At 37.5% G+C, this 25,623-nt stretch overlaps 1 protein-coding gene and 1 long non-coding RNA gene across 13 annotated transcripts in view, besides 1 other annotated feature; one reads left to right on the top strand and one right to left on the bottom strand.

Moving 5' to 3' along the window:
* Positions 1–25,623, bottom strand: part of DPP10 (dipeptidyl peptidase like 10) — a 1,403,140-nt gene that overhangs the window by 745,016 nt on the left and 632,501 nt on the right. The window lies entirely within an intron of this gene.
* On the top strand, positions 1,673–25,623 carry LOC105373575 (uncharacterized). 2 transcript variants are annotated; one of them, XR_923237.3, is made up of 5 exons: positions 1,673–1,837; positions 2,507–2,602; positions 3,075–3,136; positions 6,237–6,355; positions 20,958–21,399. It is a non-coding gene; the product is annotated as an uncharacterized LOC105373575 (long non-coding RNA). The 2 variants fall into 2 exon arrangements; XR_007087207.1 differs by lacking the exon at positions 20,958–21,399 and adding an exon at positions 25,450–25,623 and having other exon boundaries at positions 1,738–1,837.
* Positions 14,206–15,053: an enhancer, noted in NCBI's record as "OCT4-NANOG hESC enhancer chr2:115843289-115844136 (GRCh37/hg19 assembly coordinates)". NCBI's record gives its function as "activates a minimal SCP1, AML or CMV promoter by ChIP-STARR-seq in naive H9 embryonic stem cells {active_cell/tissue: H9 hESC(naive)}" and the evidence as "EXISTENCE:reporter gene assay evidence [ECO:0000049][PMID:30033119]".

The following is a 25,623-nucleotide window of genomic DNA, read 5'->3' as shown; positions in this document are numbered from 1 at the left end:
TTGTGAACATCTTTGTGTCACAGGTTAATACTCCCCCAAGAGCAACTTAAAAGAGGCAGTGATCATCCAAGTTAAGTTAGCCAGTTCATGTCAGTCAGCATATTTCATATGCCATCTTAGTTACCGCCACTTTGGATACCTAAGCTGCCAATAACAGAGACCAATTGATACATATATACACACACACACACATACACACACACATGTACATACACACATACGTATATACAAATATATGTGTGTATATATATAATTCTTATATATTCCTTTATATATATTTCATATGTGTGTGTGTGTGTGTGTGTTTTTTAATTTAGACGTGGTCACATTCTGTCACTCAGCGGCTAAAGTCCTGTGGCAAGATTATAACTCACTGCAGCCTCAAACTCCTGGGTTCAAGCAATCCTCCCACCTCAGCCTCCCAAGTAGCTAGGACTACAGGCATGTGCCACCATGCATGGCCAATTTCTTTAAGGGTGTTTATAGAGACAGGATCTTTGTTGCCCTGTTGCCCAGGCTGGCCTCGAACTCATGTCAAGTGATCCTCTTGCCTTGGCCTCCCAAAGTGCTTGGATTACAGGTGTGAACCACTGCATGCAGCCAACAGAGACAAGTTCTCTACCTCCCATATGACATCATCTTTTCAGAAGACCAACCAGCCACTTGGTGGCACGTTCATTGTATTAAATATTTTTCACTCTGGAAAGAGCAGAAATTCATCTTGAGTGGCATCATCCATATAACCAAGAATAGATTTGCCTTTTCTACTCACAGGGTCTCTGTCAGAACCATTGTACAATGGACTAAAGACTGCTTACTACATCAACATTTATGTCATATGTTAGATCTTATTGAACCAAGTAATTCACACTGCAGCAAAGGAGATGTGGCAGATATCCATGGGATCCACTGGCTCTGTCACACCCTACAACACTCAGAAGCTGCCAGCCTTACAGAGCAAAAGAAGATCCTTGTAAAGGCACAACAGAGACACCATCTTGGAAATAACACACTGAGGGGACCCATCCTCCAGGAGACAGCATGCACTCTACATGAGGGACCATTGTGTATGAGTACATCCTCAACAGTATAATACATGAATATGTGAGCTAAGTAATGGCTCTGTGTATCATTACTTCCAGTGACTCATAGCTCACTGCCTTGAACTCCTAGGAATCTATGCTTTCTGTCCTTACAGTTCTTGGTTCTAGAGGTTTAAAGGTCCTTGACCTTGAGGGGCCACAAAAGCCCCATTAACATTTAAGCTATAGCTGCTACCTTGTCACTTGGACCTTCTCATACCAGTTCTCCAGGAGACAAATAAAGTGATAGTCATCCTGGAGATGCTACCTTGATCACCGGGAGAAAGTATGGCTGCTGTTTCACAATGGGGACAAGGAAGAATTTGCATGGCCCCCATATAATAAACCTGGTGATTCTTTGTTGTTGTTTAGATGGAGTCTTGTTCTGTCGCCCATGCTGGAGTGCAGTGGCACAACCTTGGCTCGCAGCAACCTCCGCCTCCTGGGTTCAAGTGATTCTCCTGCCTCAGCCTCCTGAGTAGCTGGGATTACAGGCACCCACCACCACGTCCAGCTATTTTTCTTTTCTTTTTTTCTTTTTTTTTTTTTTTTGTATTTTTAGCAGAGATGGGGTTTTGCCATCTTGGCCAGGCTGGTTTTGAACTCCTGACCTCAAGTGATCCGCCCGCCTTGGCCTCCCAAAGTGCTAGGATTACAGGCATGAGCCACTGTGCCTGGCCTAAACCTGGTGATTCTTGAGGCATCTCTTTGTTCTCTGTTGCTAAATTTTTGTGGTAACTGGACAAGAGAAACAGGTAAGGCCTGAGAAGTTTATGATGACTAAGAACCCAGACCCTGCAGATATGACATTCTGCATTTAGTAGCTACCCAGATCTTCAGAAGCACTAGTTAAAGGTGAATCTAGAAATCATAATGGAAGAGAGAAACAATGAATATCATTTATGACTTCTGACTAGCTATAGTGCATGGGCTGTAGTTTGTCTCATTTACTGTCCTTTTTGTGTTTTTCCAGGGATTCTAGAGGAGCTGATTCCAGAACTTAATACACTCATGCACCGCATAATGACGTTTTGATAAATGATGGGCCGCCTATACAATGGTGGTGCCGTAAGATTATAGTACTGAATTTTTACTGTACCTTTTTTTTAATGTTTAGATTCACAAATACCATTGTGTGACAATTGACTACAATATTCAATACAATAACATGTCGTACAGGTTTGTAGCCCAGGAGCAGTAGACTATACCATATACCCTAGGTGTGTAGTAGGCTATACAGTCTAGGTTTCCGTAAGTATGCTCTATGATGTTCGTACAATGATGAAATCATATAAGGACCCATTTCTCAGAATGTATCCCTGTTGGTAAGGGATGCATGACTGTATATGAATCACAAGTATCTGAATAGTGCAGGGAGTAGAATGTTGCAGATGCCATTTTAAACCATCTATTTCTCTCATTAGGACTGAAGCTGTTACTCCCCCAACTTCTGGGAGTGTTTTTGGCTGAAAGCTCTCAGTCAGAGCCTTGCTCTGGGAATTGTCCTCAGCCAAGGAGAGGTAAGACAACCATGCGTGTGCACCCATCCCTCATCCAATGGCTGACTGATATGGGGACATGAATGCCTACTCCTCTGGGGAAAGTTGGAATAATTCTACAGATGCATTCCAGCACCAGAGCTCCTGGTGAAAAAGATGAATCTGCTGTGGCCTTAATTTTGACTACATTTCTCTGCCAGTCCAGGTTCCTTCACCCCACTACAGGTGTTAATTCCAAGGCAATTTCCAGTAAGCTTCCTACATACCCATTTCTGTCCCAAAATCTAATTTCTAAAGACCCCTTCCTAAAACAGTGATCAAAAAGTGATCTCTGTAGAAAGCTAGTATTTCAACTGAGACCTGAGTGACAAGATTCAGACATAACAAGGACTATTCAAAAAACTGTTCTAGGTGGCAGAATAAGCTTTATTTTCTACGTGCAATCTCTCTCTCACTTAAGGTTACCTAATCATACCTCTATATTCTATCCTAGGAAGAGTCAAACTTGACTTTTAAGAAGTGTTGAAGCCCTACATTCCTTGAAAAATTATGCCGGTATGTACTTTAAGCAAGAACTGAACATTTCATTAATGCCGTATTTCTGTCAAATACAGGCAGAAAACAAAGAGATATTTTTAGAATGTAGGGATTCCAGGTCATGTTATTGAGGGATTAATGTATTACATGTTCATTTTATAGTTTGTTAACTAGCCAATCACAGTCATGATATAAAGAAATTCTTCATTAGTGAGATTTTGGTGATCTAAGAGTACTTAAATGATAATCAATATTTCTAATCTCCTTTGAAGCATTCCAGCAAAGATCTTCACATTAGAATTCAATACAGAATCAGATTTGGAGTCTCTGTATTTTTAAAATTTGGTCTTTAACTGGAATCAGAGACACAATTTTTAATATGAGGTTAGAAGAGCATTTATTAAGTGGAAATAAATTTGGGGGGCATTCTGTTGGCCTGATTAGCTTTATTATTATTACTACTATGACTTTATTTATTTGTTACAATATCTTGGGTCTTGATAACATGGCCAACTGAATGTCTGCAACACAGGTGCTTAGCTGTCTCAGTTTAATCTCTACCAGACTGGCTATCTTTGTATTATCAAAGTGGTTATTTTCACAAGAGTGTAATGTCTACATTAGGCAGTCATTCTGCTCAAGCAAAACCTTTTATTACTATTTTTAAGAGACAGTACCAAGGAAATGAGTTTAAACTTCATTACTATCAGGATTGAAATGGATGTTTATTGATTTATTTATTCTTAAAACTTTTTACAAGTTTCATAATCATACACACTGTGTATCTATCACATCTGAGACGAACTGTTACGACAAATAAATAACAAATTTGTCATCAATATTTCATAGAGGAACAGAGAACAAATATACAAGTACATACATGTATAGATAGACCATTTTCCAACTTAGGAAGGTTCAACATATATTTGCCAACTTTAAAATGGTACAAAAGTGTATGCATTTAGTATACTTCTTGATTTATGATGGGGTTCTCTCCTGATAAGCCCATCATATGTTCAAATTATGAGGGGTTTATTGGGATAAAACCCTATTGTAAAATTGAGGAGCATCTGTGTGTATATGTATGTGTATATGTATATGAATGTATTAAGCTCTTTTCCCTGACTAGTGGCTTTTATTCCTTTTGACTCAGGCTATCTCTAATCTACCTACTGTCTTCCTTCTCTCCATTCTTCACTTAAGTATTTATGTGTTTATCATTTTATTCATCAATTAGGAAACTTCATATATTTGTACATTGCTTGAACGCATATCAACGCATATATTTAATGTGCATATATAAATATATATGTATATACTGTATACCAGAGTTCAGTGAAGTACAGCTTGGGTGTTGGCCACTTCTTTTTGAAAATAAAGCTTTGTCAAAACACAGCTATGCTCATGTGTTTGCATATTATTTACGTCTGCTTTAGGGCTACAGAGTTGAGTTATTTTGTAAGAAATTGTATGACCCACAAGCCTAAAGCTCCCTAAGGCACTTTGACACATAGTTTGGGAACTATGGGTCTAAGTGTTGCATGAGTACATACATGTGTACCTTGGGTAGTTTGGAGAGTAATTTTATACTTTAGATATTTAACATAAAAATTTTATGACTTCTTGGCATTGTAAAGATAGATAAGACATTGGCAAACATTAAGTAACACATCTTCACCCTACCCATGAAGAAGCTAAAATTCAGAAAGATCAAGAGGCTTGCTCATCTTCTTTTTGTTTGTTTGTTTTTCTTTTAAATTTTACTATTACACCACTTAATACTACTACATATAAAATGTTTTACAGTCTTGAAAATGGCTTTTGGCTCCTTTGATAAGGCAATACTAATTTTCCATAAACTACTGTTATTTAACTACAGAAATGAATTGACTAAAGTTAATTTATTTCCATTGCTCATGTGTATTTAATTGCATATTTTGTTCAGTTAGAAGTGCAGAATTTCTGTTTGAACCCAAGTGGTAGAGGTTGCAGTGAGCCAAGATAGTGCCACTGCATTCCAGCCTGGGAGACAGAGTGAGACTCCGTATCAAAAAAAAAAAACAAAAAAAAAACCAAACAGAATTGCAGAATTCCTTTTGGGAACAAGTAATAACATTTTCCTGAATAGATCTTACTTGTGTCTAATGTCTCCCAGAGCTAAATGCACTTACATCAGGCCTTGAGGACCACAGTGTTCTGCCAGGTTAGTAGAGTGAGCTCCACTGCCCTCACCTGCTCCAACTAACTCACCCTCACACTCCTCCCAAAGCCCATCTGCATATGACCTTCCTCCTGTTACCAGGGATGAGATCTTCTATCTAAATCTATCCTTTTCTAAGGCACACTTTGAACTCCACTAACTTTTTTCTTCCAAAGATGCCATTCTCCCTAGGGGCTCCAGACATGCTTAAATCCTTTTATCCACATTTTCCACTTGGCTCCCAGAATTTGCTAACTTATATGCAGAGACAAAGGCATAATAAAACAATTCATTTCAATTGTTTAATTTAACTCACAAGAAATTGATTTCAATCCATCATCTGTCTAATCACCTTGTCTATGTAAATTTGCATCATGGAGGACCAAATCTACAGAATTATTTAGGTCAACTACGGGAACAAAATCTTTGAATTTATTGCACAAAAATCTGTTTCAGGGAAGGGCAAACTGTAGCCCACTAGCCAAAGTGCCAGTTGTCTGTTTTTGTATGGCTTGTGAGTTACAAATAGTTTTGTTTTGTTTTTAAATTGTTACATTTTAAATTGTTATGTATGCACCTACATAATATCCTTAATTTTATTTTTAAACCCTCGTAAGTTAAAATACTTATTATCTGGCTGTTTATAGAAAATGCTTGCAGAACTCTGGTATGCTTATTTCTTTGCCCATTTTAATGTTATGCTTGCCACTATTAGCTAAGTAAAACTACTCAAACTAAATTACTTGTGTGGGTAATTCAATTACTACATTTAAATTCAGTTAATGAAATTCTGCTGACCTCGGTAAATACTCATGGAGCTACTGTTTCAAAACAGGTATTATTTTAGGTCCAGGGAATGTAAAAATTAATCAGACAAGACGCTCGTAACCCAACAGAATCTTCTTATTGTATTTGCAGAATATCACCTGTACCTTTCATTTTATGGATTGCAAAGGAAGTAGTTTACCATGTGATGTAAGTTAGAGGATTGAAGATTGCCCTTTGACTCTTGTGATCAATGAGAAAGTTTGCCGAAGGTAAGAAAGTGATTTTTCTATCTCCTAAAATATATACCTCAGTCCAGATATTTGAATTCTTTTATCACCTTCAGACAATTCACACTAGAAACTGCGTAACATCCACAGAGCTTTTGTTGCAGTAAAATATAACAATAAAGGTCAGCTGCTGTCATATTTCTACCTCTGAATAACTCTTAAGCCTACTTAAATGACACGTTCTCGATTTTAATTTGCACATCAAAGTGTAAAGTAACAGTGATTAAACCTACTATATGAATGTTTTTCTCCTTATGTTTAATAGGAACTTGAACTCCGTCACTCACATTTCATTACTTAATAACTCAAAGTTACTAGATGCCCCTGAAAACCAGTAGGCATGCCTTAACTTCCTCTCATTCAGTTTTAAAAGGAATCACACTGTGATATACATGACATTAATTCCTATACTATCCATTCAATTTCATAAAATAATTTTGAAACTGTATGTCTCATGGACACAAAAAAATAGTTTTTTTAATGTTAGAAAATTAAAAAGAGGGGGATTAAAGTGGTTCACACATGTGCCTACACAAAGACACAAGATGGAATCATTACACTGTCATGAATGACAACAAATTCATTTAGCAGAACAATAAAATACTAGTTGACATTTTATCTATTTTCCTAAAATTTTATTTTCTTAAAGTTTATGTGTGTGTCTCTGCATATATGTATATAATTAATGGCCCACCACTTATGAGTCAGAATCATTGTTTCAGCCTTGTCTTTTACCTACAAAAACTTTTTAACTTATTACAGTGGCTGTCATTCATTTATTCACTCAACAAATATTTATTAGATATGTACTATTTCCTAGGCATTACATGATACCAAATTATTATTATGTCTCCAGATTTGGTTTCCTTCCAAAGAAAAATAGATAAACTTTACATAACTATCATTCATTTTATAATCTAGATTAAAAATAGAAAATTTCTTCTTAAATTTTAGTTATTATTTATATTGGGCAATTATCTTTTATAATTGTACAAAGTAATAACACAGTGTAGTTTCTCACCAAGTATATTGGTCTCACTAAGTATATTGGTCAATTCCATTTATAACTCATTGCTATTTATGATACTGTTTTATGATGCACACTGTTGTGACTATATGACTGAATTCATGTTGGCTGATTCAACAGGAGCACTCATATTACATATCTTTTAACTTTATATGTATAACTTTATTCCTCTGTGTAGTTAGTCACTGTAATAATTCACACAAGTCTTCTACCACATCTCCAAGTGAGGGATCTTTGCTTATTTTGGTTTGCTTCACTGAGTTCAAGCTAGACTTTCACCTTATCTCTACTATTTCCTAGTTCCTATCTTCTAGCTTTTTATCTTAATGGGTGGCAAAAAGCCAGAGGCAATGTAGAACTAGGTAACTTCTGCTGAAGAAAAGACAGTTATTAACAACTTCTACAACAGAATTTTAGGTTCACTGTTTCAGCTTTAATTTCTTTTACTGCTCACTCTAGACTGCCTAAAAGTCACTTAAAAAGTCATCAATCAACTATTTTTATCAGCAACGACAAAATACAGTAACATAGCACATTATGAGTTATAATACTTCATCACTTATTATTGTATTTGCTTTTCTCTTAAAAACTCAATCAAAGGTAAAACAAGTAGTTTTATTATGAAGATAATTTCTTCAGAAGACAATATTGAGGTTTAGTGATCCCTGTTGCATTTTCTAATATAACACACCTAGTAAATCCTAGAATTTGACTTAGACATTATTATATCAAATGTTACTTTTTTTATTTTATCTTGTCCCCTCTTTTCATATATATATATTGAAATCAAGTTCTGAAAATCAAAACAAAAAGCTGTCCTTTACCAGATACAGTAGGAGATGGGAACTGGTACAACTCTGAGACCGAAAGGTGATAGATGTCTAACATTAACTGATATATTAAAAATAAGTGTTAAAACAGACACGCTTATGGGGAACAGAGGCAGAAACACTATTTTATGCTGGATAATTAGGGGAAGGATAAGATACAAGATTAGATATAAGCTGGCTCTTTAAGAATGGATGGGATGTTTTATGATAAAAGGAGTGGCAAGAGCATTCTGGAAATGAGCAATAAAATGAACAAATTAATGAGGTGATAATGGACATGAAATGTTTGCAAAGTGAGTTATTTGGTATTCATTTGGATAGTGTTCAAGAATATAGTCATTGGAGTCAAACAGAGAGAGTCTACCACTTATTAGTGTGATGAACTAGCACAAATTATCTAAGCTTTCTGAGGTTCAGTTTCTTTATTTTAAAAATTCTTTACTTAAGAAAAAAACAAAAAACAACAGAGTCCTGGGCTGGTGAAAAGATTAAAATGCACTGAAGCCCTTAGCAGACTACCTGGCACGGTGTGTGCACTCAGTAGGCCGCAATGGTTATTAGTAGTAATAGTATCCCTGGCTTACCAGAGTCAAGATGACTATTTAGCACTTTTGCCAAGAAAGTTGATTCTAGAGCTCCACTGTGACTATTTTCAGCTTACATTTCTAACAAGATGTAATCCTCACTACTCAACAACAAATAGGCTATAAAGCCCAATGCAGAGGCAGGTGGGCTAAACATGGACACTCAGAGGAGAGAAACGGAACTGAACTGCAGGTCATAGGACACCAAAATGAGGGTCTTCCGTGAGCAAAGCATAACTAACAAGGGACTTTTTGCTGTTGTTCATCTTTCCTCTTCAGTACATCATTCTTCAAACAAATTTCAAAGTAAATTGGTAGGACGGACGGCCAATGAAAAATAGCAGCACTAGGCCATTTTTCTTCTACTTTTTTCCCTTAAGTGTCACTAAACATATAGACACATGTTGGGGTTGAGGGGGGAGAAGGCGAGGAGAGTGTAACTTTTCCTATGTGGTGGAAAACAAAAAAACAAAAAAACTAACTTCAAACCTAAAACTCAAATGATCTCCATCACATACTCAAATTTGGATCAAAATCATGGAGGATGATTAAAGCTGATATTTATGTCCTCAGACTTCAGACAAGTACAGACTTATCTAAAAGTGAGTGAATGAATCTGAAAAGACAATGTGATGACTCTGTGGAAAATGTGGATGAAGTTTAGAAGTGTGAAAGTGGTCTGAGGGATGAAGGGAGCCAGACAAGGTTTAGATGCAAATCCACAAGGTAGAACAGGAGAGGAAGTCGTACAGTGGAACCTTGCTGGAGGGCCATTGGTGTTGCCTTGATCTGGCTTCTTAGCACAGGGAGATGGTTGGATATAAGAGAATGAGGAGGGTGGGAAAGCAATGGCCATCTCTTTATATCACAGAACATTGTTGTGAGTCACAATCCCACCCTGAAAACTGACAGAGCAGGAGCATTGCCATCTTGGATGAGCACTGCCATTTTAAAGTTCACCTTGATCAAAAACCACCTAAATCTAAACGGTATCAGCCTAATGGCTAAGGTCAGCATGACCATAAACCACAAATGACATCTCCGACCAGAAACATTCCAAACCCCTTCCTGACCAGAGACATGCCAGCCCTGAGATAACCCTCCCCTCCGGCCAGAGAGATGTCAGACCCCAGATAACCTGCCCTCTAACCAGAGACATTCCAACCCCACCATAAACTTCTCCCCAACACAGAAACTTTCCAACCTCTCTCACCAATAAATACTCTTAGACCGTAAGAGAGAGTGCTCCTCACCAAAAAAATCGTCCAGAAACCCCTCTCAGGTTTGTTCTCCAAAATAAACCTGTCTTTGACTGTTAAGCCACTTTTTGTGTTTCTTTCCTCTTTCTTTAACTTTTACAAAAACCAAACTCTAAACAGAGCAATGCCCCTAAGTTGGAGAACGTAGCAGACTTGTGAGAGTGTATTTGAGATGACAAACCTAAATTGGAATTTTAGACTGTCCCGAGGCAAGTGCAAGTCCCCTCACCCCCCTCCCCAAATCCCTGACAAAACCCTCACCACTTGGGGATAATATTTGAAGCATCATCTTCAAATAGCTACTCTAGGTAGAATTTTATCTACTCCTTCCCACCCCATTAAGAGAGGTAATAACAGAAAGAAACCAGAAGAATACCCAGGGACTACACATTTTAAATATGCACAGAGCCTTGTCCAGAATGTCGTATGATAAATGCACACTAGCAAGGGTTACTTCTGGTTGAGTAGAATTCTTCTTTGCACTTTTATGTCTCATACATATGTATATTTTAAAAAGATGTGAACATTTGTCAAAATAGATAAGCAAATAAAACATAACACAAATGTGACACTCAAGAAGAGAAAAATAAAAGGGAATAATTGTGGATCACAAAGTGAGGATCAACAAAAATTAGACATGAAAAAAAAAAAAGGAATGACCCACTGAATCATTTACTGGGCAGTCCCTGTGATGTACTAGATACTGAGTTGCTGTAGACATAGATATGAAAGGCAAGAGTCACAGGGAACCAAACTATTCCTAGTTTAACCAACTATTTCCTAGGAACCAACTATTTCCTAGTTTAAGAGATAAACCAGGAAAGAGATGATTTCAATAGAGTGAGTTTTTTGATTTTTTGGTTTTCATGGAACATGAAAGTGCAGACTGCAATGGATCAGCCCTTGTTTCTGAACTTTTAAATGTTCCCTACTTTTTCATACACTACACTGGTGATAAAATATGGAAAGTAAAATCGGGCACTTTTCCAAAACTATGTTTGTGCTGGCTCTTGATTCTGCTCTTGTGTTCTTCTGAAGCAGGAAACAATGAGGCACAGATGAGTGAATCCGCAAGTAGCAGGATAGGGAAGGGTGAAGAAAGTTGAAGGGAAAAAATGATTGGTGGCTATTATTATTATTTTATTTGTACAGTATGGGAGGAAAGATCTTTTTCCAAAGTGTGATAGAGAGGGTAGTGAGAAAGGGACTTCAGTGATGACAATCCGAAATAAACATTGTGGAAAACGGCAGAGTGCTCATTAGGGATATGTCCAATTACTGCTCATCTAGTCTTGGAGACAGGACATTTTGCAGTTGGAAATTCCAATGGCAGTCTAACCATTAATTTTCCTAGCAATGATTGTTATGTGGAAGTCAAAGAGAAAAGAATGATTAGATTGGATTATTCTGACTGTGTGTAAGAATAATGGCAAGAAAGTCAGGACATTTCTAATATTAGAAAGAAATGATCAATGCGATGATTGACCATGAGGTCTAGGTATGTTCAGAAAAACAATGAAAGCAGAAGAGAATGAACTGAGAAATGGATAAAAGAGGAAAAAAAAGGAAAAGAGGAAATCAGGCTGAAGATGTCAAGAAGTTTGCGGGCAGAAGGTGGCGCATAAAAATTTAGGACAGAAGATATGAGGCAAGCTTGGATGATGACAGCTCTCCAGGATGTTACTCTGAGGATGAGGGGCCAACCTGGGATGGCAATAAAGGTTGTGGAAGTCAAGGGATGGTCAGTCAGCTGTAGCCAGGAATTCAGGCCAAAATTAAGAAGTTTTTTTCCTAGTTAAATGTGGCTAAAAGTTCACTAAACATTTTCCTAATTTCTCAGTGGAAAAGAAACATAAAATTAATATAAATTCATTATATTTTTTAAAAAATTGTTTAGTTTTAAGGTTTTTTTTGTTTTTTGGTTTTTTTTTTTTTTTTTTTGTCAGGCACAGTGGCTCACAGCTGTAATCCTAATCCCGGCACTTTGGGAGGCCAAGGTAGGAGGGTTGCTTGAGGCCAGGAATTTGAGACCAGCCTGGGCAACACAGTGAGATCCTGTCTCTACAGATAATTTTAAAAAAATCAATCAGGCATGGTGATGCCCATGTGTATTCCCAGCTGAGGCTGAGGTGGGAGGATCCCTTGATCCCAGGAGGTCAAGGCTGCTGTGAGCCATGATCAGGCCACTGCATTCTAGCCTGGGTGACCCAGCAAGACCCCGTCTCTCAAAGAAAAAGGAGAAAATAAAAGAAAAAAAGAAAAGTTGTTTTTGATTTTTTTCTGTGGAAGTTAGCTAGGTAGCACCATTTTTGTTTTTCTCAGATAATACCATAGTAACCCTTATGAAATCCAGACTGAAAAGCACTATAGACATTTCTCTAGAAGAACAGCTATCAAAGTGTGTTCCCTCCTGCTGCTATGGTCTGAATGTTTGTGTCCCTTAACAATTTATATATGGAAATTCTAACACCCAAGGTGATGGTGTTAGGAGGCAAGGCCTTTAGGAGGTGATTAGGTCATGAGAGTGGAGCCCTCATGAATGGGATTAGTGCCCTTATAAAAGAGGCTGGAGAAAGCTAGGTCTCTCCTTCCACCGTGTGAGGACACAGCTAAAAAGCACCATCTATAAACCAAGAAGAGGGCTCTCCCCAGACACTGAATTTTCTGGAGCCTTCATCTTAAACTTCCCAGGCTTCCCAGCCTCTAGAACTGTGAAAAATAAAGGTCTGTGTTTATAAGCCACCAAGTCTATGGTATTTTGTTACAGCGGCTCAAATCAACCAAGACACCACCTGACAGCATCTGCATAACTTGAGAACTTGTTAGAAAGGCAGAGTTGGCTGGGTGCGGTGACTCATGCCTGTAATCCCAGCACTTTGGGAGGCCGAGGTGGGCAGATGACCTGAGGTCATGAGTTTGAGACCAGACTGACCAACATGGAGAAACCCCCATCTCTACTAAAAATACAAAATTAGCTGGGCGTGGTGATGCATGCCTGTAATCCCAGCTACTCGAGAGGCTGAGGCAGGAGAATCGCTTGAACCCGGGAGGCAGAGGTTGCGGTGAGCCGAGATTGGGCCAATTGCACTCCAGCCTGTGCAACTCTAGCCTGGGCAACAAGAGTGAAACTCTGTCAAAAAAAAAAAAAAAAAAGAAAAGAAAAGAAAAGAAAGAAAGAAAAAGAAAGACATAGTCTCAGGTCACGACCTTGACTTCCTAAATAGAAACCCTAAAGGTGGGGCCAGCAATCTGTGGTTTCAGTCACCTGCCATGTGATTCTGATGCATGCTAGAGTTTAAGGACCACTGCTCTGGAAAGTATTTGTACTAATTGATTTAGTCAGTTTTTTATGCTGAAGAAAATATTAAAGGACTTCAACCAATCCCTAAAATCCATCCCTTCCTTCAACCACTTCCTTGAAGGAATCTACAGCCATTGCCACACTACTCTTTTAACTCGCGGCCTACTCAGCTAGGTGTTTCAGTTTGGAAAATTTAGCTTTTAAAAATACCATTATGGATCAAAACTGCTTTACCATAAGATGAGATAAATGGTAACATGAGAGAGTGAAGCAAAATAAAAACACATTAAAGAATACGCTCGACTTGGAATACACAGTGCCATGGGCTGAGAATGCTTGTTTTGCAACCAGCTAATACTCATGGAATTAGAAAATATCACACACTCTGCACTGTTTGCTCTCGTGAGTTAAGACCACATTTTGGAAGATATTATAGTATATGTTGACGAAAATAGTCAAGCCCTGTAAAATATTTGAAGAGATTTATTCTGAGACAAATATGAGTGACCACGGCCCATGACACAGCTCTCAGGAGGTCCTGACATGTGCCCAAGGTTATTGGGGTACAACTTGGTTTTATATATTTTAGGGAGGCAGGAGACATCAATTAAATACATTTAAGAAATACATTGATTTGGCTGGGCACGGTGGCTCACGCCCTAATCCCAGCACTTTGGGAGGCCGAGGCGAGCAGGTCATGAGGTCAGGAGATCGAGACCTTCCTGGATAACACGGTGAAACCCTGTCTCTACTAAAAATACAAAAAATTAGCCAGGCATAGTGGTGGGCGCCTGTAGTCCCAGCTACTGGGGAGGCTGAGGCAGGAGAATGGTGTGAACCCGGAAGGCGGAGCTTGCAGTGAGCCGAGATGGCGCCACTACACTCCAGCCTGGGTGACAGCCTGGGAGACTCCGTCACAAAAAAAAAAAAAAAAAAAAGAAATACATTGATTTGGTTCAGAAAGGCAGGACAACTCTCTAAGCAGGGAGGGGTTGGGGGGTGGCTTCCAGGCTATGGGTAAATTTAAACATTTTCTGGTTGACAATGGGTTGAGTTTGTCTAAAGACCTGAGATGGATAGAAAAGAAATATTCGGGTTAAGATAAAAGATCGTAGAGACCAAAGTTCTTTTGAAATCTTATAGTGGCTGCAGTTAGAGACAATAGATGACAAATGTTTCCTATTCAGATCTTTAAAAGGTGCTAGACTTTTAGTTAATCTCTTCAGAATTGGGAGGGCCTGAAAGAAAAAGATCTAGCTATGTTAACAGAGATTCTTTACAGATGCAGATCTTTCCCAACAAAGGATGGCTTTGTAGGGCCATTCCAAGACATGGCAGAAAAACATGTTTTGGGGTGAAATATTTTGATTTTCTTCCTTGTCTCATAATGTTATGCCAGAGTCAGATTGGAAAGTAAGTCACGATATATAGGGTACCCACCTGATGAGAATTTGTGGTTTGCAGGGCATGACTCCCGACACCCCTTAGGTAGGAATTTGGCCAAGATAAAAAATCAGAGCTTTAGTCCTCATATAGGAGTTGGTGATGGCACATATGTATGTGATGTGTGTACAATATATTTATTTATTTAGTGGAAGGTAATATTACATATTTTAGCATAAACATATTTTATAAAACAGTTTGGAACAAACAGCACTATAATAGGACTGGGCTAAAAAGGCTGAGTTAAATGAGATATGTATACTTTTTCTGAGGAACACTGTTTTTTAAAGGGGGAGGGGAAACTTTGAGATTTCCTAACATGTTCTAGTGGCACTGGCCACTACCTGCTTCTGATTTTCCAGTTTGAAATTTGGCTTTTTCAAAAGTGTTATTTTATTAAAATGTTTCCTTTTAACTATGCATTTTCTAAGTGTAATATCTATAAACTCATTTATTCAGATTAATTTATTGAAATTTGGGAACAACTGGGTAGAAATGACCACTTTTATTATAGGAATGGGCTTTCTAAACATACTAATATTTAAGAGGCAATATTTAACCTGCTCCAGCAAAGGTAGGTTTCCAGTAATTAGAATGGATGTGAGTACACACACACACACGTGCTCACACATACACATACACACATTGGTGGAGGTGGGACAGAAAGAAGAAAAAGATATGGGAAGGGAAGGGAAAGGATCTGTAAAGTAAAGGTATATTTTATTCCCTGGGTGAACTATTTGTTGGTTCAAATTCAGTCTAGTATAATGAAATAATAAATCACAGAGTGAAATTCAGACAGAACTGCAGAATGCTATTCATTTCAGGTGGTCTAAGCCTTGCTACAAATTCTTCTACAAGAGATAAGCCAGGGGGCACTTGGCATTTTCTCTATTGCCATCTCTTGCCACATTTGGCTCTGTGCTCTTCCCAGACTTAAATGTTGCACCAAACTGAACATCAGTGTGGTGCAAAAACAGCTCTTTCTGAACAAGCCAACTTGCAACTCTGTAACCAAGAAGAATAAAAATAAGCCCTTTTCCTAGAAATGCTAATGCATTTTTCTGAGGCTCTGCTTCCTAACAGGTGCTTTTAGGTATGCTTGAAACTGTGAGCCCTCTGGAGGAATATCAGCCTCACACAACTTAACACAATCGTTATTAGAAGTGAAGCAGCTCTCTGGATTCAGCATATGGACCACAAACTGGCGGAGAGCCTGAGCTCTCGGAGGAAGGACGCCAGTGTCCCTCCGTTGTTTTCTTAGCTGCTGGGAGAGATTTCAGCTCTTCAGCAGTTTCTCTTCCTGACCAGCTTTTCCCAAGATAAATCTGAGCTAGCACCATATGTTTCAAGAACACAAAAACAGCTTCTGAATTATTACAGCATGGTGCACACTTGCCCAGGAAATTCAAGCTGCTTAGGCACTGCAATCATAGTACCAGGCAGAACTGGAAAGAACAGTGAACTTGACAACCTTTTGTCAGATGACACATGTCCACAAAAGTAGGACACCTTGGACGTTTCCCTGAGGCAATAGAATGAGTTGCCTATAGTCCTTAGTTATTTTGAAATCATAATTCTGGCTAAATGAACAATTTTCAGATAATGTTGAGCCCACAAGCACTATTAGAGTTGTAGGAGGTCAGCGCATTATTATGTGTTTTTGTTGTTGTTAAATTTTAAAATCACTGACTGATTTTAATTGTCACGTACTGTGCTAAATGATGGGGATATAAAAATATTTAAGATACAGTACTTGACTTCACAGAGTCCAAGTGAAATAAATAGAAATATCATCAGAAAACCTCAAAATTGTGAGCAGGTATATTAATAGGGATTCATATAGGTTTCGTATTCATATTGATAGGATGTCATATAGGTTTGACAGGATCACAAAGGTATAGCCCCTAACCCACTCTAGATGTTTCATACAAAGACACCTGAAAGAAAACTAACCTGGATGTTAGAAGAGGTGTTTGTGATAGAACTAGATCCTCTTCCTTATTGCAGTAGTATATTACTGATTAAAATATATCCCTGCCATGTTAACTACTGTCCCGCTTTGTTAATCTTTGACAATCCTAAGGCAAACAGATTTCAGGTTTAAAGCTATCTCCTATCCAATAGCAATGGCTGGCTGTGTAGTTGGATGCTACCATGAAAATCTTGCAGAAATCACTTAGTGATAACTTTCAGAGGCAGAGACAAAAATTGTGGTAGCAAATATGTTTATTATTTGCCAAATTCACTGTAGCAAATGCTCTGAAAGTTGTTGTTTAATAACTTTTTTGACAGCTAAGTTTAGAATAGATATAAGAGAAACAAACTACAGCTAAGGATACTAGTCAAGAAACGATCATAATGTTTCAAAAGAGAGAGAAGGAAGGCCTAAACTAGAGCAGTGCGAGAGAAACAGAGTGGACACAAATATAATGAGGAGGGAGGCATGTGTTATGCCAGGTTTCTCTAGTAGGTTGCTGGGTGACTAGTTGTGATACTATGTGAAATAGAGGAATAGCCAGCCAGCAGATGGCAGAGAAGAACGCAGTTACATACTTTGGGATATGTTGAAGCATAGGGCCTCGGGACATATATCTGACTATTACCTAACTGTCAGATTATATATTCAGGACTTTAATGCAGGAAGAGGCTTTGCATAAAGACATAATTTATATCTTTATACAAAGTGGTCATTGAAATAGAAAAAAAAGTGGAGGAGATCCAACAGGGAGAGTTTGTGGATGGAAACATAAGAAAAAGACGGAAACCTAACAAATGCTGATACTTATAAGGAAAACAAGAAGAAATAAAATCTACAAGGGAAATGAAGAATGAATAGTACAGAAATTCCAGCAGAAGCACAAAGATCCAGTGTCATAGACACTAAAAGAGTATAGATTGTTTACGAATAATCAATACTGTCAGATACTGTAAAATAGTCTCATTAGATAAGGACTGAAAAATGCTCATTGATTTGATAACTGAGAGAGATTTAATTTTAAGAAGAACAATTTAAATAAAGTAATATAGCTCTAGGTGTTGAGTTTTTCTGCAAACCTAACCTCTTCTACATTTAGTAGCTTAAAACAATAACCAGTTATTTAGCTCACGAATTCCTAGGTTGGCAATCTGGTGTGAATTTCACTGAGTGGTTCTAGTCTGGGCCACACTGGTTCCTCTCAGTTGATCTAAAGAGAGATTGCTCATGCATCTGTAGTTAGCTGGTAGGTTCACTGGCTGGAATGAGTAGGGCACCTTTCCATATGGACTCAAATCGTCCAGTAATTTATTAGATGTGAAGTTCACAGAGTTCCAAAAGTAAGAGTGGATATACCTCAAAATTCTTGAGACTACTCAGATTATATCCAACATCCTTTCTGTAGCATTGTATTAACCAAGTAATATGCAAAGCAGTCCAGAATGAAAGGGTGAAGAAATCGACTCCACATCATTTTTCAAAAAGCTGCCAAGTTGCCATTTTTGCAGTCTACAATGTTACCAGCAAAGAGTTTTTAGCATTCTGGTTACATGCCATAACCATAGTTCCATGTAGACAAAAATGGCCTCGACTGGCTATTTTAACACAGACTTTGTACCAGTTTGGAGCTAAAAGAGCACGAAGCCTGGCTACCTTCCTTTAAGCCCACAGGAGTTTTAAAGAGTGAGAAACCTCCCCTTGGCTCACAAAGGCAGCAGAGGAAGCAAAGACCTTAGCAGGAAGGTTTTTATTTAAGACCTTACTTAACCTAATACTCTTACTGTTAAAATGCCTGTTCAGAAGGCTTACTGTTTATAGTAATGGGAGGGTCTGCTTACAGGGACATTCTGGCCTGTTGAAAACAACTAAAAAAGCTGATAAAAATATTACAAAATAATTTCTTAAAAGCATCACACAGACAACAAGACAATAAGACATTTTGAGGCCTGAAAAGAAGGAATAATGAAAACTTGGAAATTTATCTTGGTACAAAAGCGGATTTTTCCCTGAAGGTATTTGATTTCCTAGCAGAGGCCTTCTGGGAATGGAATCAAAATCTAATGCAGAATTCACCTAAAATTGGAAGTCTAATAAGACTCCTTCTTGATAAACTGAGACCCTAAAGAGTTTGCCCTCAGGCAAAGGGTGAATGGAAGTGGTAGAACCTCGGTAGAATTAGTCATGTATTTTCTGTACCACGTCTTGAACTTGATGCAGCAATGAACATTCTCTTTGAAAAATGTTTGTCAATTAGTTCTAAATTTTTTTTTTCAAAAAGAATATTCATCATGTCAAAAATGACAACAAGGTGCTAGACTATGAGAACAAGTAGAAAAGGACAGAAATGGAAAACGGAACCACAGCAAAAGGTAAAGACATCAGATATTTATTAATAAGTAATTAGATACTGATTATAAAACAACTACACTGAAAGGTGTAAATAAATGAAGGACCAACTAAAAGATATCTGCAGAGGACAGGGAACCATAGAAACAGACATAGAAGGTTTAAAAAATCTTCTGGAAAAATATATCATAGAAATTAAGATCTCTGTGAGCAGACTTAACAACAAACTGAAGACAGCTAAAGACAGACTTTGTATCTGAGAAGATAGCTTGCAAACAATTATCTTGAGTTTAATTTTAAAAGACCCATGATGGACTATACATGAGAGAGATTACTAACCATGAATGACACCAACACAAGATTTAGGAAATGTAATCCGAGTCCCAGATGGAGAGGAGAGACTGGAGGACAGCTGATATATCTGAAAAGATTGTGATTGACAATTTTCTAGATCTGAAAGACAGTAATCTGCAGATTCAAGAAGCTCACAAATCCCATGCAAGATAATTAAAAAGAAATCTGCAACTAAATATGTTACATTGAAACTGCTGGGGGAAAAAAAGACTGAGAAAAAAATCTTAAGAAAGGCCACAGGTGAAGAACAGCAACAAAATATCACCCTCAAAGGAGCAAGAATTTGACTGATGGCTAACTTCTCAACAGCAACAAAGTCAGACAGTCAATAGTGGAATAATCTCTTTAATGCACTAAAAGAGAATGATTATAATCTAGAGAACATTTCAGGAATGCTGATAAAAACGGACTTTTTCAGAGCAACAATGTTGAGAGGGGTCTTTGTGACAACTTTCACTAAAGTCATTCTAAGAGATGAACTGTAGACAGAGAGAAAATGATTCCAGGTGCATCTAAGGTGTAAGAAACAATAAAGAGCAAAAAAGATGGAAATATGTGGGAAAAAATACACGATCTGCACTGAGTGATCTCTTAAATGAAGGGTTGGCAAGCTTTATCTATATGGGGCTAGACTGTATTTTCTTCTTTGCATGCCTTATGGTCTCTTTTGTGATTTTCTGCTGTTGTACAAAATCAGCCACAGACAATTCATAGAAGAATAAGCTTTGGTTTTAATGTGACTGGGTTGTTTCCGACAAAACTCTATTTACAGAATAAGATAGTGGACTAGGTGTAGTCCAGGGGCCATAATTTGCAGACCTCTAACTTGAGTTAACTTCCAGCTGTACTCATGAGCCATTTTAGTTTGTGTCCAAGCTTACAAGGAAGAAATAACCAAACAAAAAAAAGTTACATCCTTCACTTTATTGTTCTAGTTTAAGATATACAGGGTGGCCAGGCACGGTGGATCATGCCTGTAATCCCAGGACTTTGGGAGTTCAAGGTGGGCTGATCACTTAAGGTCAGGAGTTCACGATCAGCCTGGCCAATATAGTGAAACCCTGTCTCTACTAAGAACACAGAAATTAGCCAGGCTTGGTGATGGGTGCCTGTAATCCCAGCTACTTGGAAGGCTGAGGCAGGAGAATCGCTTGAACCCCGGAGGCAGAGGTTGCAGTGAGCCAAGATGGCACCACTGCATTCCAGCCTTGGCTATAAGAGCAAGACTCCATCTAAAAAAAAAGATATACAAGGCTGTTAGCCATAAATATAGCATAGCCTCTGACCCTTCCTTCTATGGTCAATCCCAGGTAAAGCCTTGGGCCATCATCACAAAGCCTCTCCTTATGTGCCCTTAATGTTTCCAATTGTAGGAAATATTCAACAACAATGAGGCAACTAGTAGGAGCTTTCTGGAAAATCAATCTGATAACGCCATTTCTCTGTTGACCTTTTTTTGCAGACTTCTCTATCTGTTCATCAAGCTGCAGTCACTCATCATGATGTGAGGCCTTTGCGATTTAGTACTGACCCTTCCTCTAGACACTTCTCTCTCACTTCATCAAGCTCATCTCATGACTGACCTTGGGTAGTATAGTTTCCAGAGTGCAGTGCACCAGCTGCTGCTGCTTTTCCTGTGGTCCCATGGGCTGCTTCTCCAGCCCCAGTATGCACCAATTTGTCTAGCTGGCAAGTACTAGTCCCTGAAGACTCAATCCACACAACACTCCCCTGAGAAAGTGATGCCACCCCAAATCCAATATACACTGTTCCTCTGGGCCTCCCAGAGTGTTCTGCTAACGTTCCCATGCATAGCAGGCAACACTGTGTCCTAGTTTGTCTGTCATCCCCGTTAATCTCTGATTTTTTTAAGGATTTTCTTTTTTTCTTTTTTTTTGTTTTTTGAGACGGAGTCTGGCTCTGTCGCCCAGGCTGGAGTGCAGCTCACTGCAAGCTCCGCCTCCCGGGTTCACGCCATCCTCCTGCCTCAGCCTCCTGAGTAGCTTGGATTACAGGTGCCCGCCACCACGTCCGGCTAATGTTTTGTGTTTTTAGTAGAGACGGGGTTTCACCGCGTTAGCCAGGATGGTCTCGATCTCCTGACCTCACGATCCACCCGCCTCAGCGCCCCAAAGTGCTGGGATTACAGGCGTGAGCCACCGCGCCCGGCCGAGGATTTCTTATTTCTGAGTCCCAGCACGGTGTAGAGTGGGCACTCAAGCGTGGACTCAAGTGTGTGTGTCTGTGTGTGAATGTTAAATTATTGAAGAAAAAATAAGACTTGATAACCTTAAGTTTATCATAGAATTAATCTAAATCAAAAAATTGCCCATTAATCAAGAACCTATAAATATCTCTTCAGCATGATTATAGAGGTCAAAATAATCAAAATATTATTGTATAGTAATTATGGTGTTACTCTTTGAGCAATTTAACTGATAACTTGAGTAATTTATCTGTGATACTTAAATATGTCTTTAATATGAAGACCAAAGAAACTTTTTAAAATCAAGTTTGCACTTTGAAACAACTTACATATTGATATCAGGTGACCAATCCCGTGTTGTATATTGCAAACTCAGAATTGATTAGGTTAGCAATTTCTTCAGTTTATTATTTCAACTTTAATTTTGAAACGTAATTCTAAAAGTTATCCTTTATAGACTCTACGTATTGTTTAGATTTTAGCATACTACTTAAATAATCTTTACTAAGTATTGCGTTATACAAACAGCAATTTGTTTACACCTGCCTACATTTTAGTGGGTTTCATTAGTTCATTAATTTAAAACATATAATGGAACCACTGATGTGATGATATTTTCTCGTAATTCTTTTTAAAAATAATTGACTTTAAAACAGTTTTACAAAATTAGTCTTAATCTTTTTTGAATAACAAATTTCCAACCATGATGTGTTTGTGAGGTTACAGTATAATTTTCTTTTGCTGCTTATTTCAGTAGTATTTAACATTTTCATGTAATATGGAGTTAATTTAATATTGACTAGTGTGAAATGAATCATTTGGTGTTCATTTGAATGTCACATATATTTTCTTAAATGTTTCATTTTAATTTAACAATATTTAATAGGCATTAAAAATAAACTGTTACCTTCATATTTGCCTTAGTTTCATTAGCGTGCCATGCTTATGTCTGAATTTAAGTGATGAGTGTGATTGTCTCAGGCCTTTATGAGGTGGATAATGATAGAGAAGTTTTCTTTAGTGTACCTCAGTAAATTAAAATAGAAAAGACTGAAGTGATTTTTGTTTTTCTGCCTACATTTGAGAAGATTAGGTTGATAGTTGTAGAGTAATATTTTGAGAGGCTTCAACAGAAACTGGCTGAAAAATTTCCCTCTTGGGCAATATTATTGAGAATGGATAGAACATTAAACCTCTGCCAGTGCTGGCTCATTAGCTTATTAGATTGGTTAGCAAGGAGGAAAGTCCTGAAATATTACAGAAAAAGGAGGTGAGATGTTAGAGTAAACAAGTGAGTCAGGGAAATCTTGATGGCTTGGGCTGTTCTTGAGGGCAACAGGCCCACGTGTTTTGGCAGAACACTGCACTGCAGGGTCTCAGGCTGCCAAAAATCAGGAAAAAGAAGTTAAAGGTGAAAATCTGTTGTTATGTGACTTTATCAAGGCATTTCACCTCTTTAGGATTCATAATTTGAGAATATTCTTCCTGAATTTTAAATAAGAAACTTAGGCAAGGTTGTTACTGTATTCCTTTTAATTCTAGAATTATGTGAAATTAGGGAATGTCAAAGAGGGGATGGAAGAAGCTACATAATTATTTGCTATTTTGACTAATTTTCCAGTTTTCCGGTGAGGTTAGATGTCATGTATTTGATCCACACAAGGGCAGAATTTTATGTATCCCTCTTTGAAGTTCATGGTGAATCTGGTGTGTTCTCATAAAAAATTATATAATTCTTTTATCTTTTTAATTATTAAATCAGAATTATAATTATTCTTAGTGCCAACATTTAACTAACATATAATGAATGAATAAGACAGATTAAAGATTTTACTCATGTTATTTTGATTATATAGAGTTATATATTAGACGACAGCTGCCATGATTACAAATAGCACTTGGCCCATTCCATTGCACCTATATACAATGCTCGCATGGAAAGAATCAGGGAGATGGTGGCATTCATGGAGATGTTAGTAGTGACAGTAGAGGTGGCCCCAAAAATTTAGCTATGAAAGTCTGAGATAAATTCAGGCACACATACAAAAAAGGAAAAACTAGATATTTGCAGAAATATGGAAAAATAAGACTCTCATACACTGCTATTGGAAGTGTAAATTTGTACAACCACTTTGGAAAACAATATAGCAGTGTGATAGTAAAAGTGAACAATTTTAGTCTACAGCAAGAAAGAAATATCCTGTGTATAAAACTCTCACATATGAACACAAGGCATGTTCAAGAGCAGTAATGCTCATTACTTCATTATTTATAATGAACAATTTAACATTATAAACAATCTAACATCCATCAGCAGGAATATGGAAGACTATATTATGCTACATTTGTAAATGGAATAATATGATGTAGAACTTGGAATGAATTAGTAACCTTTACCAACATAGAGAAAACTCAAAAAAATATTGAGTAAAAAAGCAAGAGGTTCAATGTTACATGTAGTGTAATGTACACGTAGTGCTATTTCGATAAACGTTAACACATAGTGCAAAAAATTACATATACTTATCAATACATAATTATGTAACAAAAGTACAGAATACATTTATAGAAATTATTATCCTTTTGACATATACAGGGCCAGCACCTATAGATTTAGCACACTCTCTGATCTGTTTCTCTATAGTCATAGATAAGGATCTAGGAGTCCTTCAGTCTAAAAAAAAATATTTTTATGTGCACTGAATTCCTAATTGTATGTATAGTGGAGGAGGAGGGAAGGAAATGATATGGGAGAAAGGTAGAAAAAGGATCTCAATTGTGTTTATAGCATTTAATTCCTTAAAAAATAAACTGAAGTAATTACTTCCTAATGTTAGCTTAAAGAAACCTAATGTTTATTATAATACTTTTTATAATATTTTATTCTTACCTGAATGTCTGACATATATTTCACCATAAACTTTAAAACTTCAACAACAACAGAAACAACAAAACCTACCAAATCTTTATAAGGTAGATGTGGAGATTGGGAGGTTAAGAAATGTCTCTGCTTCCACAGAGCTCAGCTCATAAACATATCCTGTGTGTAGCACAGGGTGAATGAAAACCCACGTCTTTCGATTCTGAGTGTGATGCATGATTCACAATAGCAGCCTCCCTTAATTGCTTCCCACATTCTGTTTAGAACCCAAATTACCAAAGCACTTTTGAACCTGAAGGGTACAATTAAATTTAAGAAGTTTTACTTGTTATGAGTTTTAAATGGACTCACTGCCCCTGAATATTTAGGATTCAACTACTCAAACAAAGGTATACAGAAATAGAATTTTAATTAAAAAGCAGGTGTTTTCTCATTATGGAATAAAAGGAGTTGCCTAACATTAAAAAAAAAAAAAAAGTTCACCATTGCTATCTCATTCTTCCCTGCAGTAAAATGGGCTGAGCTAATAAGCCTCAAATGTCTTGAAAACTGCTATCAGAGATTCAAGAGATATTTAAAATCTCTAATTAAATTTTAGATTACACACTGCAGCTGACAAACATGAGAATTATTTTTTCAAGGAGACTATTTTGATAAAATCTTAATGAGTAACTATTTCTATAGGGCATAAAAATCTCAGGATTCATTTGGGTTTGAAACTGACATGGCCAGACAACCTTCAACATTTTTCATCTGGGACTTCCCCTCGATCATTCTAAGCACTGACCTATCTTTACACACTGACTGTATCTTTACACACTGATCGTACCTTTACATACTGATTGTATCTTTTGGCTTCTCTTCTAGGATTGCTGAGTATGTGCAAGAGACATTTATTGAAGAGCAGCTTTGCTTTTACTTCTAAACAACTTCTAAGAAAGAGAATTTGTGGATTAGATTATGCTATTTTATGCAAACACCAATGTGATCAGCAGTCAATGCTATCACAGGAAGTCCTTAATAAAAACTTGTGTAAAGGCA

This window comes from Homo sapiens, chromosome 2 (genome assembly GCF_000001405.40).
Source record: "Homo sapiens chromosome 2, GRCh38.p14 Primary Assembly".
Taxonomy (NCBI): Eukaryota; Metazoa; Chordata; class Mammalia; order Primates; family Hominidae; genus Homo; species Homo sapiens.
Note: the sequence above shows the minus strand (reverse complement) of the source record. Positions and strands in the feature narration are given on the sequence as shown.